Here is a 15,973-nt window from a genome sequence, read left to right as displayed (position 1 = left end):
AGTCCCACCAACAGTGTAAAAGTGTTCCTATTTCTCCACATCCTCTCCAGCACCTGTTGTTTCCTGACTTTTTAATGATTGCCATTCTAAATGGTGTGAGATGGTATCATTGTGGTTTTGATTTGCATCTCTCTGATGGCCAGTGATGGTGAGCATTTTTTCATGTGTTTTTTGGCTGCATAAATGTCTTCTTTTGAGAAGTGTCTGTTCATGTCCTTCACCCACTTTTTGATGGGATTGTTTGTTTTTTTTCTTGTAAATTTGTTTGAGTTCATTATAGATTCTGGATATTAGCCCTTTGTCAGATGAGTAGGTTGTGAAAATTTTCTCCCATTTTATAGGTTGCCTGTTCACTCTGATGGTAGTTTCTTTTGCTGTGCAGAAGCTCTTGTGTTTAATTAGATCCCATTTGTCAATTCTGGCTTTTGTTGCCATTGCTTTTGGTGTTTTAGACATGAAGTCCTTGCCCATGCCTATGTCCTAAATGGTAATGCCTAGGTTTTCTTCTAGGGTTTTTATGGTTTTAGGTCTAACGTCTAAGTCTTTAATCCATCTTGGATTAATTTTTGTATAAGGTGTAAGGAAGGGATCCAGTTTCAGCTTTCTATGTATGGCTAGCCAGTTTTCCCAGCACCATTTATTAAATAGGGAATCCTTTCCCCATTGCTTGTTTTTCTCAGGTTTGTCAAAGATCAGATAGTTGTAGATAAGCGGCATTATTTCTGAGGGCTCTGTTCCGTTCCATTGATCTATATCTCTGTTTTGGTACCAGTACCATGCTGTTTGGGTTACTGTAGGCTTGTAGTATAGTTTGAAGTCAGGTAGTGTGATACCTCCAGCTTTGTTCTTTTGGCTTAGGATTGACTTGGCGATGCGGGCTCTTTTTTGGTTCCATATGAACTTTAAAGTAGTTTTTTCCAGTTCTGTGAAGAAAGTCACTGGTAGCTTGATGGGGTTGGCATTGAATCTATAAATTACCTTGGGCAGTATAGCCATTTTCACGGTATTGATTCTTCCTACCCATGAGCATGGAATGTTCTTCCATTTGTTTGTATCCTCTTTTATTTCACTGAGCAGTGGTTTGTAGTTCTCCTTGAAGAGTCCTTCACATCCCTTGTAAGTTGGATTCCTAGGTATTTTATTCTCTTTGAAGCAGTTGTGAATGGGAGTTCACTCATGATTTGGCTCTCTGTTTGTCTGTTGTTGGTGTATAAGAATGCTTGTGATTTTTGTACATTGATTTTGTATCCTGAGACTTTGCTGAAATTGCCTATCAGCTTAAGGAGATTTTGGGCTGAGACAGTGGGGTTTTCTAGATATACAATCATGTCATCTGCAAACAGGGACAATTTGACTTCCTCTTTTCCTAATTGAATACCCTTTATTTCCTTCGCCTGCCTAATTGCCCTGGCCAGAACTTCCAACACTATGTTGAATAGGAGTGGTGAGAGAGGGCATCCCTGTCTTGTGCCAGTTTTCAAAGGGAATGCTTCCAGCTTTTGCCTATTCAGTATGATATTGGCTGTGGGTTTGTCATAGATAGCTCTTATTATTTTGAGATATGTCCCATCAATACCTAATTTATTGAGAGTTTTTAGCATGAAGGGTTGTTGAATTTTGTCAAAGGCCTTTTGTGCATCTATTGAGATAATCACGTGATTTTAGTCTTAGGTTCTGTTTATATGCTGGATTACATTTATTGATTTGCGTATGTTGAAGCAGCCTTGCATCCCAGGGATGAAGCCCACTTGATCATGGTGGATAAGCTTTTTGATGTGCTGCTAGATTCCGTTTGCCAGTATTTCACTGAGGATTTTTGCATCAATGTTCATCAGGATATTGGTCTAAAATTCTCTTTTTTGGTTGTGTCTCTGCCGGGCTTTGGTATCAGGATGATGCTGGCCTCATAAAATGAGTTAGGGAGGAGTCCCTCTTTTTCTGTTGATTGGAATAGTTTCAGAAGGAATAGTACCAGTTCCTCCTTGTACCTCCTCTGGTAGAATTCAGCTGTGAATCCATCTGGTCCTGGACTCTTTTTGGTTGGTAAGCTATTGATTATTGCCACAATTTCAGAGCCTGTTATTGGTCTATTCAGAGATTCAACTTCTTCCTGGTTTAGTCTTGGGAGGGCGTATGTGTCCAGGAATTTATCCATTTCTTCTAGATTTTCTAGTTTATTTGCGTAGAGGTGTTTGTAGTATTCTCTGATGGTAGTTTGTATTTCTGTGGGATTGGTAGTGATATCCCCTTTATCATTTTTTATTGCGTCTATTTGATTCTTCTCTCTTTTCTTCTTTATTAGTCTTGCTAGCGGTCTATCAATTTTGTTGATCCTTTCAAAAAACCATCTCCTCGATTCATTAATTTTTTGAAGGGTTTTTTGTGTCTCTATTTCCTTCAGTTCTGCTCTGATTTTAGTTATTTCTTGCCTTCTGCTAGCTTTTGAATGTGTTTGCTCTTGCTTTTCTAGTTCTTTTAATTGTGATGTTAGGTTTATACACAGTCTTTAATTTATACACAGACCTGTCTCACAGTTGAAATATACATTTGCATTTAGCGTGGGCAGAAATGAGCAAATTTGGCACTTGAGGGTATGGATAATATATTTGGGGAGATAGTAGATTTCTGCCGGCATAGAAATAGTTTGGCAGATAGTTTAGAAGTTAGGAGGATAATTAAATTAAAAATTAAATAAATATTACCTTTACTAATCTCCTATTTACTGAATCACATTTAAAGGGAAATTCCTTAGAAAAATAATCTATGGAAATGACTACCTTATAAAGTTGAATATTTCAGTGCAAAGACACCAGAACATATCTAAATTAACAATCAGGTAACACTTTAGTTGGTATTTTAAGGCATATATCTAATCTCAAATCTCTAATTCACATTTGTCAAGGAATTAATATTCCAAATATACAAGGAACTCAACTCAACAGCATAAAAAGAAATAATCTGATTTAAAAATGGGCAAATGATCTGAATAGACATCACTTAAGAGAAGATGTACAAATGGCCAACAAGTATATGAAAAAAAAATCTCAACATCATTAATCGTCAAGGAAATACAAATCAGAACCTACAGGAGATAACATCTTACCCCAGTTAGAATGGCTATTATCAAAAAGACAACAAGAAATGCTGGAGAGGTCGTGGAGAAGAAGGAATAAACATAATAGTGTTTATTTCTTGCAAAATTGTCCTCCTTTTGATGTATTATACAAGGTTGGTGGGAATGTAAATTAGTATAGCCATTATGGAAAATAGTGTGGAGGCTCCTCATAAAACTAGAAATAGAATGGCAATCCCACTACTGGGTATCTATCAAAGGAAAGAAAATCAGAATGTCAAGGAGACATCTGCACTCCCATGTTTATTGGAGCACTATGCACAATAGCCAAGATATGATATCATCCTAAGTGTCGATCAACAGATGGATAAAGAAAATATGGTATATATACCCAATGGAATGCTAGTCAGCCATAAAAAAGAATGAAGTCCTGTCATTCACAGCAACATTGCTGAGCCCGAAGGACATTGTGTTAAGTGAAATAAGCCACGCACAAAAAGATAAATACCACGTATTCTCACTCATGTGGAAGCTAAGAAAGTTGATCTCATAGAAGTAGAGAATAGAAGAGTGGTAACTACAGGATGAAAGGGTGAAGGGGAGAGAAAATAGGGAGAAGCTGGTTAATGGACACAAAATTATGCCTATATAAGAGGAATAACTTCTAATGTTTTATCGTACTGCAGGGTGACTATAGTTAGCAACAATATATTGTATATTTATAAATAGCTAGAAGAGAGGATCTTGATTGTTCCCAGAACAAAGAAATAACAAATGTTTGAGGTGATGAATTTGCTCATTACCCCAATTTGATCATTACACATTGTACACATATATAAAATATCACACCGAACCCCATAAATATCTACAATTATTGTGCCAATTAAAATTTTTTAAAACTCTAATTAAAAGATCATTTGTTTTAGTATTTAAAGTGACCACATATATAAGAATTCATTTAAAACTTTCTTCAACAAAATATTACACTAATTCCATTTGGCAAATGCTTTTCATTTCCTTATGCATTTTCTCTAGTTAAAGGTTATCTTTGCCATAGGTGCTAGTTAGCTAACAATCATTCAATGATACATAGATTCACAAGCATCTCCATTAATCTCTGGAAAATCAAGTATATAATATATATAATCAGAAACACATTTATTACTTACAATATTTTTTAATTTAAAAATTTTGAGAATTACATTGAAATATCACAATAAAATCTTTTTTCATGAAAAGCCCTAGTTACAGCAATAAAATATTAAACATTATTCAAGAGGAGGATAGGTCCATTTTGTATACTTTAGAAAAACTGCCCTCAAAAATTTTCATTTTTTCAATCCATATAGAATTGAAAAGTTGTTTCTTTGCCTTTTTCTTTGTCTACAGCTGAACAATAGAGTTTCTTGCAAAATTTTCCTCCTTTTGATATATTGGAAAGCGAGGCAAGAGTCCCCGTTGACTTAGCTGCCAGAAAAGACACCCTTCTCCGCCTGGGTTTGTTTTGCTCCAGTAAATAAAAACAGGATTCAGTTGGGCTCTGAGCAAAATCTGTTCCTGTATGCAATTTTGAAGTCCATTACGGGTGCCCCTACTGAGCACTTAGTTTACCTGGCCAGGGATGACTGGATATGGCCAGCTGACAACTCCACCCCACCCCACTCCCCTCCCCGCATCCCTCTCCCGCTGAGAGGCCTACAGCGAGCGGGGTCGGGTCCTGGGTGCTCTCTGGTCTTGTCTGAGCGGGCAACCTTTTCTGAAGGCCTCTGACCCTTCCTTTGCTCCCCAGACACCCGGGAAGGGCAGAAAAAAGGGAGAAAGGATCCGGCGTTATAGTCCTCGAAGATAATTCTAGGTGGGAGTGAAGGGACTGGGAGAGTGTGCTGCCGTTGGTCGGGTCGGGACATACAGGGAATTAGAAGAGAAGGACTAAAGCCAGAGGGACCCCTCCGGCGAGGCGGGATGGATTGGGGTGGGGCCTGCTCTCTAGGGGACTCTCAAGCTCTTGGAAGGTCACGTGCTCAAACTCGGCGTGACCGTGCCTCCCAGGCCCTGTCCCCCACCACCCAGGGGAGGAGAAGGCGGCGGCGGCATCCACGGATCAGGGTCAGGCCCGCGGCTTCGAGCCCGCGTCTCCTGCTCCTCCGAGAGACCCAAGCTCATGCTCGGGTGAAGCGGACGCAGATCTCATCCAGGCCCCAGCACTCTGGGTACTGGTGGCGGGGGACGTCAGCGGGAGAAAAGCCTTGGCCTTCCTCCTCCGGCCGTTGCCGCGGCAACTGTGATGTCTGAGGCGGAGGGTCGCGGGTTGGGAGCACTGCTCCCCCTCGCGGAGCGCGGCGCCCGGAGCGCTTAGCGCGCCTGCAGGTCGGGGGAGGCGAGGAGGAGGCTGACAGGGTGGAGGGCGCCTTTCTCCCTGCCACCCCCTCCAGCGTTGCTATGGACACCGCCAGGGCAACCTCACCTGTACCCGCTGCTCCAGCCGCCGCCGCTGAAGTAGAAACAGCAACCCGAGCTCTCTTTTGCCCCAGCATCTCTTCCAGGGACTCTAACCCAGCAGCTGCCACCGCTTGTCTCCCACAAACAGGAAGTGAGAGGGCAGACGTCCAACATTTGTCCTTGTTCCATTACCATGCCTGCCTTTATTTGGCTTTCCATTCTACATTTTGTATCTCAGCATCTTCCAGAGTAAATGGTCTAGAGGATGGAAAACGCTTCCTTTTATACCGTCTGCCACGCCTCTTCTATTAGCAGACAGCTGGTTTAATTCTACAAAACACTGTCCTGGGCCCTATTTAATTATCAGAAGAAATATATTTTAAAAGTAGCGTGTTTCTTGTATTACAGCAGATATGTAGAATCCCTAGTTTTCATTAGAAGGATATATAGCTATTTATAGGAATGTTCTCTTGCTGCTAAGCACCCCTGAAATAAACACTTTTTGACAAATGAGTAGAACAATTCTGTGTCAGGATATCTGGGATACATAGTACGTAAAAACGAGCTGTTTAGAAACCCCTTCTTTTCCCATCTCATTTCCAGTTCTATATGCCAGTGCTAAAATCTCTTTTCTGGGCTCTAATCCATCTGTGTTTGAGGTCAGTTTTTGACTTTGCAAGGGGATTTATTTCCACATGGCTCTGTTTTTGAACTCGAGGGTGGGGGGTAAATTAAATATTCGACTACTTACACTCAGCTCAGGTGCAAGATTTAGTGCATAGATGCATCTCTACTGACTACCGACGTAAATGCACTTAGTAAAAAAGACTCTCCCTGATTAGAGCAAATGGAGGCATCTGTGATCTTGAATTGCCAGCCATACCCTGGCAGGCTCTGTGAACTACTGTTGGTCACAACCCCTTGCTCTCAAATTTCTTTTCTGTTGAGTGTATATATGGTAAAGCTTTCATTCTCTGAAAGCACCCCGGTAGCTTTTGCTACTGATAATCATGAGTTTCCTTACATAGTTCTGCAAGTTTGAATAGACAAGCCTTTTCAGCTGACTTTGATACTACCTCTTTAGAAAATCCCAACAATGCAAGATAACTATTTCTTTTTTTTAAAGCTGATAGGTGGGATACTTAATAATTTCATTTTGTCACACTTTCTGTGTCATGGTGTTTTCAAAGCCACTAAAAGAGATTTTGATATAGTGCAAGCCCTAGGTAAAGCTATGAATTCGAAACATGTTTATCTTCAATGTCCTATCTACCCTGTTCCTACCTCTCCCAAAGGTCACCTGGATTCCTAAATACCAAATCGAATGGTCCCTTTCATTTGTCATCCTACTTAACCTCTTATAAGAATTTGACGCTCTTGATCTAACTTCTCATTTTCCTTGATAATCTCTTCCCATCTTCTTGTGCTCTCTGACCTATTTGAAGGTCCCTTCTCAGTCTTTTTACTTTTCTCTTTTCCTTTTTTGATACTGTATTTTGATCTGCTTTTTTTTTTCATTCTGCATATTTTCCTGGGCCTTTTCATCCACATCAATTGTTTTATCTGCCATCTTATTTTCTTGTCTTCTAAATCTGTGTTATCTTGTGCAAACTTTTCTCTGAGCTCTAGACCTTTTTTCTGAGCTACTTCATGGACAATTCTATATATCTTACCTGCAGGCATCTCAAATTCAACCTGTGACTCACTGAACTATTTTCCTATCCAAAATTTGATTTTCTTATTGTATTTTCTATCTCAGTTAATGACCCTATGCCCCTACTTACACAAGATCAGAAGCATGAGGGCCATTTATTGAGGTATATATTTATCTAATGAAATTTTCTTACTGGCATCTACCATATGCCAGACAGTGTCATGAAGCTTAATTCTAGTAGAAAAGAAAGATTAATGTATTTATGACCAAGTAATATAATTCCAGCTTTTGGTAAATTCTACTACAGAAATAAGCCAGGTGTTATATGATAAAGAAGAGCTGAGAAGAGTACTCTACACAGGATGGTCCAAAAAAGTTTTATGTGTTAAACCAAAATGAAGAATGAGAAGAAGCCAAACATGTAAGTTGCTGGAGAAAAAAAACATGTCAGGCAGAGATAATAGCAGTCACAAAGATCCTGCAGTGGGGGAGGGCCTCCTGTATTCAAGAAAATGACGTAAAAGCCAATATACGTGATGAGAAGGGGACAGTGGGGTGTAGTGAGTGTGGGAAGGAGGCAGGGGACAGATTTTGTATGACTCTGTGGGCCATGATGAGGAATTTGGATTTTATACTATGTGCAGCAGGAAGCCATTGAATGTTTTTATTAAGAGTGGCTGAACTGTTTCATACTTATAGATGATCATTAGGCTGTAGGGTGGAGAATGAATTGGAATGGTGACAGTTTGGAAGTGGAGAGGATATTAATGACAATGGAAGTGTTCCGGATCAGCGATGACAGTGGTATGGAAGTAGAGAGGGAGACGAGTGAACAGACGTGAGGTATTTTCAGTGATCTTTTGTCTTTATCACTCACTATTGTGTGTCAGTCTCATTTCTGTCCTTAGAGCACTCCATGCCATATGGAGCTTTCCACATCCCAAGTCCTTACCGATAAATCCTATTTTTATGGTTCTTATACTTTTAGAACCTTAACTGAATGATAGTTACATGTTACCTGACAAGGAGAAGGTAGAGAACAATAGTTAAGAAAGTAGGCTCCAGAGTTAAGCTGCCTTGGTTCATAGCCATGCTCCAATGACTTACTAGCAGTGTCACTTGGGCAAATTGTTTAACCTTTCTGTTTCATTTTCTCCAGCTACAAAATAGGAATAACAGTAATAATAATTATTTACAGGATATTATGGGGATTAAATAATGCATATAACACACAGTATATGGCAAGTCTCAGTAAATTTTAGATTATGATGTTGCTGCTGATGGAAAATGATAGAGGATGTAAGATCTTACTCTGGTAAACATTTTAATATAATGCACGGGAAGTTCTGCAGCCTTTCCTTGTAACTTGTTAGTAAGACTAAGAATCAGAAGAGGAAAGGCATCATGTCTGGCATGGAAGGAAATGGGAAATATTCTGACAAACAGGCATCCAAAATAGTTGCTCATCAAATCTCCCTTCTTGGGGAAACCCTTCTATAGGAAAGCATTTTCTGTTCCTTTCTGATTTCTTAATCTTGCTTTCTTTGAGCCTGCATTAAATCATTTTGTTTTTCTTGTTACAGTGATTAGAAAGAAAATGGATATGAAGTTTTTAATCATGACAAGAATAATAGAATACCTTTAAGCTGGAAAAAGTTGAGACTTGCTACTACTTGGTGATTTTCTTTATGTCTTGCTAATTCAATAGGAAACACTCCTTAGTACAATCTTGTCCTGCATAATAATGTTTTGGTCAAGGATGAGTAGTGTATATGATGATGGTCTCATAAGATGATAATACTATATTTTACATACCTTTTCTATATTTAAATATATAAATACCCACTGTATTAAAATTACCTACAATATTCAGTACCGTAACATGCTGTATAGGTTTGTAACCTAGAAGCAATATACCATGCAGCCTAGGTGTGTAGTAGTCTATGCCATCTATGTTTGTGCAAGAACACTCTATGATGTTTGCATGATAAGGAAATCACCTAACAGTGCATTTCTCAGAATATATCCCCCTCATTAAGCAATGCATGACTGTAATTCCAAACTTCAGTTTTCCTGCATTCACAACTAAGCCAATATTGACTGCCTTGTTTTATCAAGTTATTAGTATCCTTCATGAATGGTCTGTATCTCATAATTTTCCAACTCAGTTATCAAGGTTTCTCTGATTTATTGAATAAATCAGTGATTCTTTATAAAATATACCTTTCAACATTTTTCTTTCTTTTCATTGTTGTTTTCCTCTGTCTAAATTAGATTCTCATATTTTTCAAATATATATATATATGTTACATTTTTAACATCTCTCTGACCAACTTTCACGTATTTGTGGCAGATTTATTTTTTCGAAGTATGGAGCTACTCTTGTCATCCTTTCATTCAAAAATTCAAAAACTCTTTACTAAGAAGAAAGTTACAAATTGGCAAAAGATTCGTATTCAGACTTTATAGAGAACTATAAGAAAAAGGGAGACCAGCCAATAAAATATTGGGCAAGTGACTAAGAGAGATATTCAACAAAAGAGGGCGTCTAAATAACTAATAAATGTAAGAAAGGATCCACAACCTCAGTAGTCATCAGAGAAATTAAAATTAAAACCACTATCCACACATGTATCAGAATGACAACAATGAAAGAGAATGCCATTCCAAAGAGTTTGTGAGAATGTTGAGCAATCAGAATGTTAGTATACTGCTAGAGAGACATTTAGTTAACACACCCACTTGGGAAAAACTATTTAGCACATTTTACAAAGATATATATATATATAGCAATAGTATATGACATGAGTGATGGGTGCACAAAAAAAACACGAATGAAACCGTTATAGCAGTATTATTTCTAATAGTTAAAAAACATAAATGACTCTAATGTTTTTCCTGAAAAAAATTGTTAAATAACTTATTGCATATTTTACTATGCAATACTATGCAACAATAAAAAAAGTACTTCTACACACTACAGCATGTATGAATCCCACAAACATAATGACATAACAAAATAGGCAACACGAGTCTATGTTGAGAAGCTAAGGTAGTAGCTATCTCTGGGGAGATAAGCAAGATTAGTGATTAAAAAACAGTCAAAGGGAGCTTGTAGGGGTGCTGCTACTCTTCTATTTCTGGAACTTGGTGATCCGTATGTGGAAGTGTTTAATGTGTACATTCATTAAACTTTATACTTATATTTTGTGCATTTTGTCTTAGTTATATTTCAATTATTTTTTTAAAGACTTGTCATTAACTACTGTATTAAGTCACTGTCTTCAGCCTCTGCCTGTTGGATTTTAACCTGTTTTCTGGCTGTTTCCTCTTACATCTTTGCATGTGTCTTACGTTTTCAACAGATTTGACTAGTAAATGAATTTTTCTTCATATTCATTGTTTTCATCCTTTTAGTAATGGAATCCTCTGAATGTTAGCTGGACACATGTCTGACTCCTTTTGGCCAATCTTCTGACTACATTTTCTAGCCTGCCTCAGCTCTACATATGGCTGTGTGATTAAGTTTGGGCCAGTTATTCATAGCAGAAGTAATGGGTCCGATTTACTTCCTGTATGTTACTTTCACTTTTACTTCCTGCTGGGAAATAGCAATGTCTGGGAAACCTTGGCAACCACATGTTCTAGATGGCAGAGCTACCATGCTGGCTGTGGATCACTGGACTGTTAGATGAAAGAGAAATTAATTTCTGTCTTATTTAAGCTATAATATTTTGAGGTTCCTTTATTACAATATAGTCTCTGTCTTAACACAGTTTGTTATAAATATTGCAATTCATATGTGTCTCTGTGCATTGATTTGGCTAATCACTCTTTCCAGAGATGACCTGACCTACTGAAATGATCTCCAAGAAGTGCCATATTCACTGATTTATATCTTGCAGTGCTTTCCATTTCTTAGATATCTGACCATGGGGAATGTATTCATTTATTTGAGTCTCAGCTTCGTTACCTGTGAAATGGGAATAATAGATAATTATTATGAACACTAAAGGAGTTAATACTTGTAAAGTGTTTAGCAGTCTGGAGTACATATTAAGCACTCAACAAATATTATTTTCACCTAATAGTTTTAATGTAAATAATTGATATGGAACTGAGCAATAGCACAACAAAGAAACTCAATGTACATTGGAAGAGGATATGAATTAAGGACATTTAAGAGACAATCATTTCATGATTCGAGCCTTCTAGAGATTTGTTATTATTTTATAAATATTGGAAATAGTGTAATGTTAATATAAATATACCTTATGACCAAGTAATTCTGCTCCTAGTGATGTATCGAAAAGAAATGAGTACATGGGTATATGAAAAATATAACGAAAATATTTATAGCAGCATTACCTTTAATAGAAACAACTGGAAACAACCCCGTTGTTTCCTACACATAAGAGCAAAACTAACTCTTAATTTTGGCAAATTTATTTTAACTGTCCCATGCTTCTCTTTCTTCTTAAAAATTGGTAATAATAGTTCCTGACTATTGATTACTTAAGAATATGACTTATCTATTACAATGTGATTTGGGGAAAAATTGCTAAAAGTCTCTAAGTTATTAAAAATAAATTGCACTTCTATTTTTAGTATTCCCTTTCAATTATCTTCTAGCAATTTTCTTTTGTCTAAGTACTTCCTTTAAGTCCCTTCATTAGGGTGGTAAATGTTTTTGGTGTGTTTGCCAGAAGAAAACCCTCTTTCTTGCACGATAATTTTTCTGATTATATAAATCTATATTTTTCAGCATTTGCCCTCAGAGTCGTGAAGCTATTATTGTATTGCCTTCTCACTTGGTGACTATTGAGAGGTTTGCTGTCGGACAAACTCTTGTTCCATAAGGGTGATCTGTCTCATCTTTCTGGCTGTTTTTTCTTTTAATATAATCAGTTTGTGGTTATCTGCAGTTTTATACATAGTAATGTATGCAAGAGTGAATTTTTGCAAACAAAATTATCCTGTGTAGGATTCACTGTGTTTCTTAAATCTGAGGTCTCATAGCTCTATTAATTTTCCTCCATTGTTTTCCCAAAAGATTAGACTATTTTGTTTTCAAACCAAGAGCCAAATAAACCTAAGACACATCACCTGGTCATGTCTATTTACAAGTAGTTCATTCATTCACTGCATGTGGACATTTTTTTAAGAGTCCTATTTTTACATGAACATTTCTGTTTCAAGTCTTGTGGCCCATTGCTCACATGACCCTAGAAATTTACCTGACTTTATCAACTCTGCATTTTAAACTATGCTTATTAGTCATTCTTTCTAGTTGTTTTATAATGGAAGATTTCTTTCTTTTTAAAAATAACATTAAAATAAGTTAATGTTTCATTTCCTATCCTTGGCAGATTTTTATTTTTCAATATGAATTGTTTTGAAAAAAAAGTTAATGATACATGCACTAAAAAGGGATACAAAGATTTCGTTATTATATTTTAATTTAATGTGAATTTTTCATTTTTTCAAATTGATCAAGCATAGTTTACAAAAAATTCCTTGAGCTGGTTGTCGGTCCACTAGAATAACTTTCCTCTGTTGCCGCACAGGACAGCAAGGCTTTCACTCCTCCAAAGAGTATATCCTTTTCCCCCTCTCATTTTAAATAGACTTCAGGTTTACAGCAATACTGAGCAAAAGTACAGAGTTTCCAGGTATCCCCTGCCCTCACAAGCTCATAAGCACCCCTGCTATCAACATCCTGCACCAAAGTGGTACATTGGTTACAATCAATGAAACTACATTGGCATATCATTAAAATCCAAAGTTTACATTAGGGTTAATCTTGGTTTTGTACATTCCATGAGTTTGGAAAAAGATGTATAATGACATGTATCTACCCATATAGTGTCATACAGAATAGTTTCACTGCCCTAAATATATGTTGTGCTTTGTCTATTAATCCCCCCCTTCCCATAAGCCCTGGCAACCACTGATCTTTTTACTGTCTCCTTAGTTTTGCCTTCTTCCAGAAGGTCAGATATTTGGAACCATATAGTATTTAGACCTTTCAGATTGGCTTCTATCACTCGATAATATGCATTTAAGATTCTTTCATGTATTTTCATGGCTTGATAGTTCATTTTTTAGTGCTAAGAAATATTTCATTGTCTGGGTGCACCAGTTTATTCACTCACCTACTGAAGGACATCTTGTTTGCTTCCAAATTTTGGCAATTATAAATAAAGCTGCTATAAACATCTGTGTGTAGGTGTTCTTGTAGACTTAAGTTTTCAACCTCTTTGGGTAAATACAAAGGTAGATGTTTGGTGGATCATATGACAAGAGTATGTTTAGTTTTATCAGAAAGTGCCAAACTTTCTTCCAAAGTGCTATAAAGTTTTGCAATCCTATGCACAATTAACGTTCTTTTTGCTCCATATCCTCACCAGCTTTTGGTGGTGTTAGTGTTTTGAATTTTGGCCTTTCTAATAGTTATGTAGTGGTATCTCATTCTTTTAATTTGCATTTTCTGAGTGGCATGTGATGTCGAGCATCTTCTTTGGTGAGGTGTCTGTTCAGATCTTTTGTACATTTTAAAATCAGTTTGTTTGTTTTCCTATTGTTGAATTTTATGAGTTATTTGTATATTTCAGATAACAGTCCTTTATCAGATTTTCTTCCAGTCTGTGGCTTGTCTTCTTCCAGTCTGTTGCTTGTCTTCTCCCTCTCTTGACTATGTCTTTCATGATCAGAAGTTTTGAATTATAATGAAGTCTAGCTTATCAATTCTTTCATTCATGGATCATGACTTTGGTGTTGTATCTAAAAAGTAGTCATATCCATGCCCAAGTCATGTAGATTTTCTCTTATTTTATCTTCTAGGACAAAAGTTGTATATATTTTTTGTATTTAACATTTAGTCTAGGATTCATTTTCAGTTTTCTTTTTGAACAATGTAAGTTCTGTGTCTAGACTCCTTTTTTCCACACGTGCATATCCAGCTGTTCTGCAATGTTTGTTAAAACTATCTTTTCTTCATTGTATTGCTGTTGCTCCTTTGTCAAAGATCAGTTGACTATATTTATGTAGGTCTATTTTTGGGCTCTCTATTCTATCCTACTGATACTCGTTTGTTCTGTTGCCAATACATACTGTCTTGATTACCACAGCTTTATAGTAAGCCTTGAAATTGAGTAGTGTTAGTCCTATGACTTTATTCTTCTCCTTTAATATTGTGTTGGCTATACTTGGTGCCTTTAAATTTCCTTCCACATTTTTTGAGGGCACTATTCTCAACATTTTCTTCATGTAATAGGCTTAGTCATATATTTGAAGGGTAACTAACACTTACAGATAACTAACATTTGTTGAGTACTTATTAAATTCTGGGCAAAATTCAATTAATCATAAATTAAACAGATATATTATATAATTATCATCATATTTTAGATGAGAAAACCAAGGCCCAGGGAAATGTAAGAAAATTCCCCAAGGCAACTTAGGTAGTAAATAGAGGAATACGATAGTCTGCCTCAAAGGGACATAATGTGGTATCACCTCCCAGTACCTACAGCATTAACTAACTTTCAGCAAGGAAATTCTTCAAATAAACCAGGTTATAGAGGTATAAATTCTACTTCAATTGAATATTTGCTGATTACGTACTATATACCAGGGACAATTCTAGGTATTCCATTTTCAAAATAATGATCACTAAGCATTTTCTCTTAATGAGTTCATTGTGTAGAGTGTCATATAGTGAACAGACAAGTTAAAATAAAATAGTAGCTTTCTCCAAAGGGTGCCACACTGGAATCAACCTAGATGGTCATCAACTGGAGAATAGAAAGACAAATTATGGCTTCATCATGCAATGGGATATTATTCATCAATAAAAACATAGGGTATGATGATAACAAAGTTTTGATATCTCTCTCACAGATCTTACTTGCTAAATCTTCATGTTTACTTCCTATTAAAACACTATCATAGCTATTCTGATTAATTTAGTAGTGAAAGAATAATCTTTCTTTCTAGGCTTCAAATCCTTTCCCTTGTATTTAGGTTAAAAATTCTTACTTTGTGGCCACGTGCACCCTAACAAAGTTACTAGTCCCAGAATTTTCCCAAAATAAAAGTCCTTTTATTTTCTGGGATTATTATTCACAAGATTGACCCTTATCTCTGAAGGCTTTAAAGATTTTTATTCTTTTGGCATTTCTTTCCAATATACTCATGTATTACAGATTGTTGGCTATGGACACCAGAAATATTTTGACCTATTTTTAATCATTAAAATCACTATGAATATTAGCATGTCTCAACCTAATTTTTATTTTCTTTGCTCTGCATCCTATCCCCAAAGCTATGAAAAGGAATTTACTGCTCTATCACACAATGATTATGCCTAATAATTAAGGGAAAATGCAGGAAGATGTAATTGTACTTCTCAATTGCAGTCAAACACTGAATTAGCCACAATAACTAAAAAAGATAGCTCAAATGATTAAATCTTCAGAGGAACCCTATATTTATATTAAATAATTCATTTCTCAAGGAAAAAATAGTTTGTATATATTTTTGCAAGAAGAGCTAACTATCCTAAATATATATGCACCCAATACAGGAACACCCAGATTTATAAAGCAAGTCCTTAGAGACTTACAAAGAGACTTAGACTCCCACACAATAATAGTTGGAGACTTTAATACCCCCCTGTCAATATTAGACAGATCAACAAGACATACAATTAACAAGGATATTCAGGATTGGACTCAGCTCTAGACCAAGCAGACCTAATAGACATCTACAGAACTCTCCACCTAAAATCAACAGAATATATTCTT

General features: G+C 36.6%; 1 protein-coding gene across 25 annotated transcripts in view; it reads left to right on the top strand.

Moving 5' to 3' along the window:
* Nucleotides 1–15,973, top strand: part of NOL4 (nucleolar protein 4) — a 373,814-nt gene that overhangs the window by 60,266 nt on the left and 297,575 nt on the right. The window lies entirely within an intron of this gene.

Source organism: Homo sapiens, chromosome 18, assembly GCF_000001405.40.
Source record: "Homo sapiens chromosome 18, GRCh38.p14 Primary Assembly".
Lineage (NCBI taxonomy): Eukaryota > Metazoa > Chordata > Mammalia > Primates > Hominidae > Homo > Homo sapiens.
Note: the sequence above shows the minus strand (reverse complement) of the source record. Positions and strands in the feature narration are given on the sequence as shown.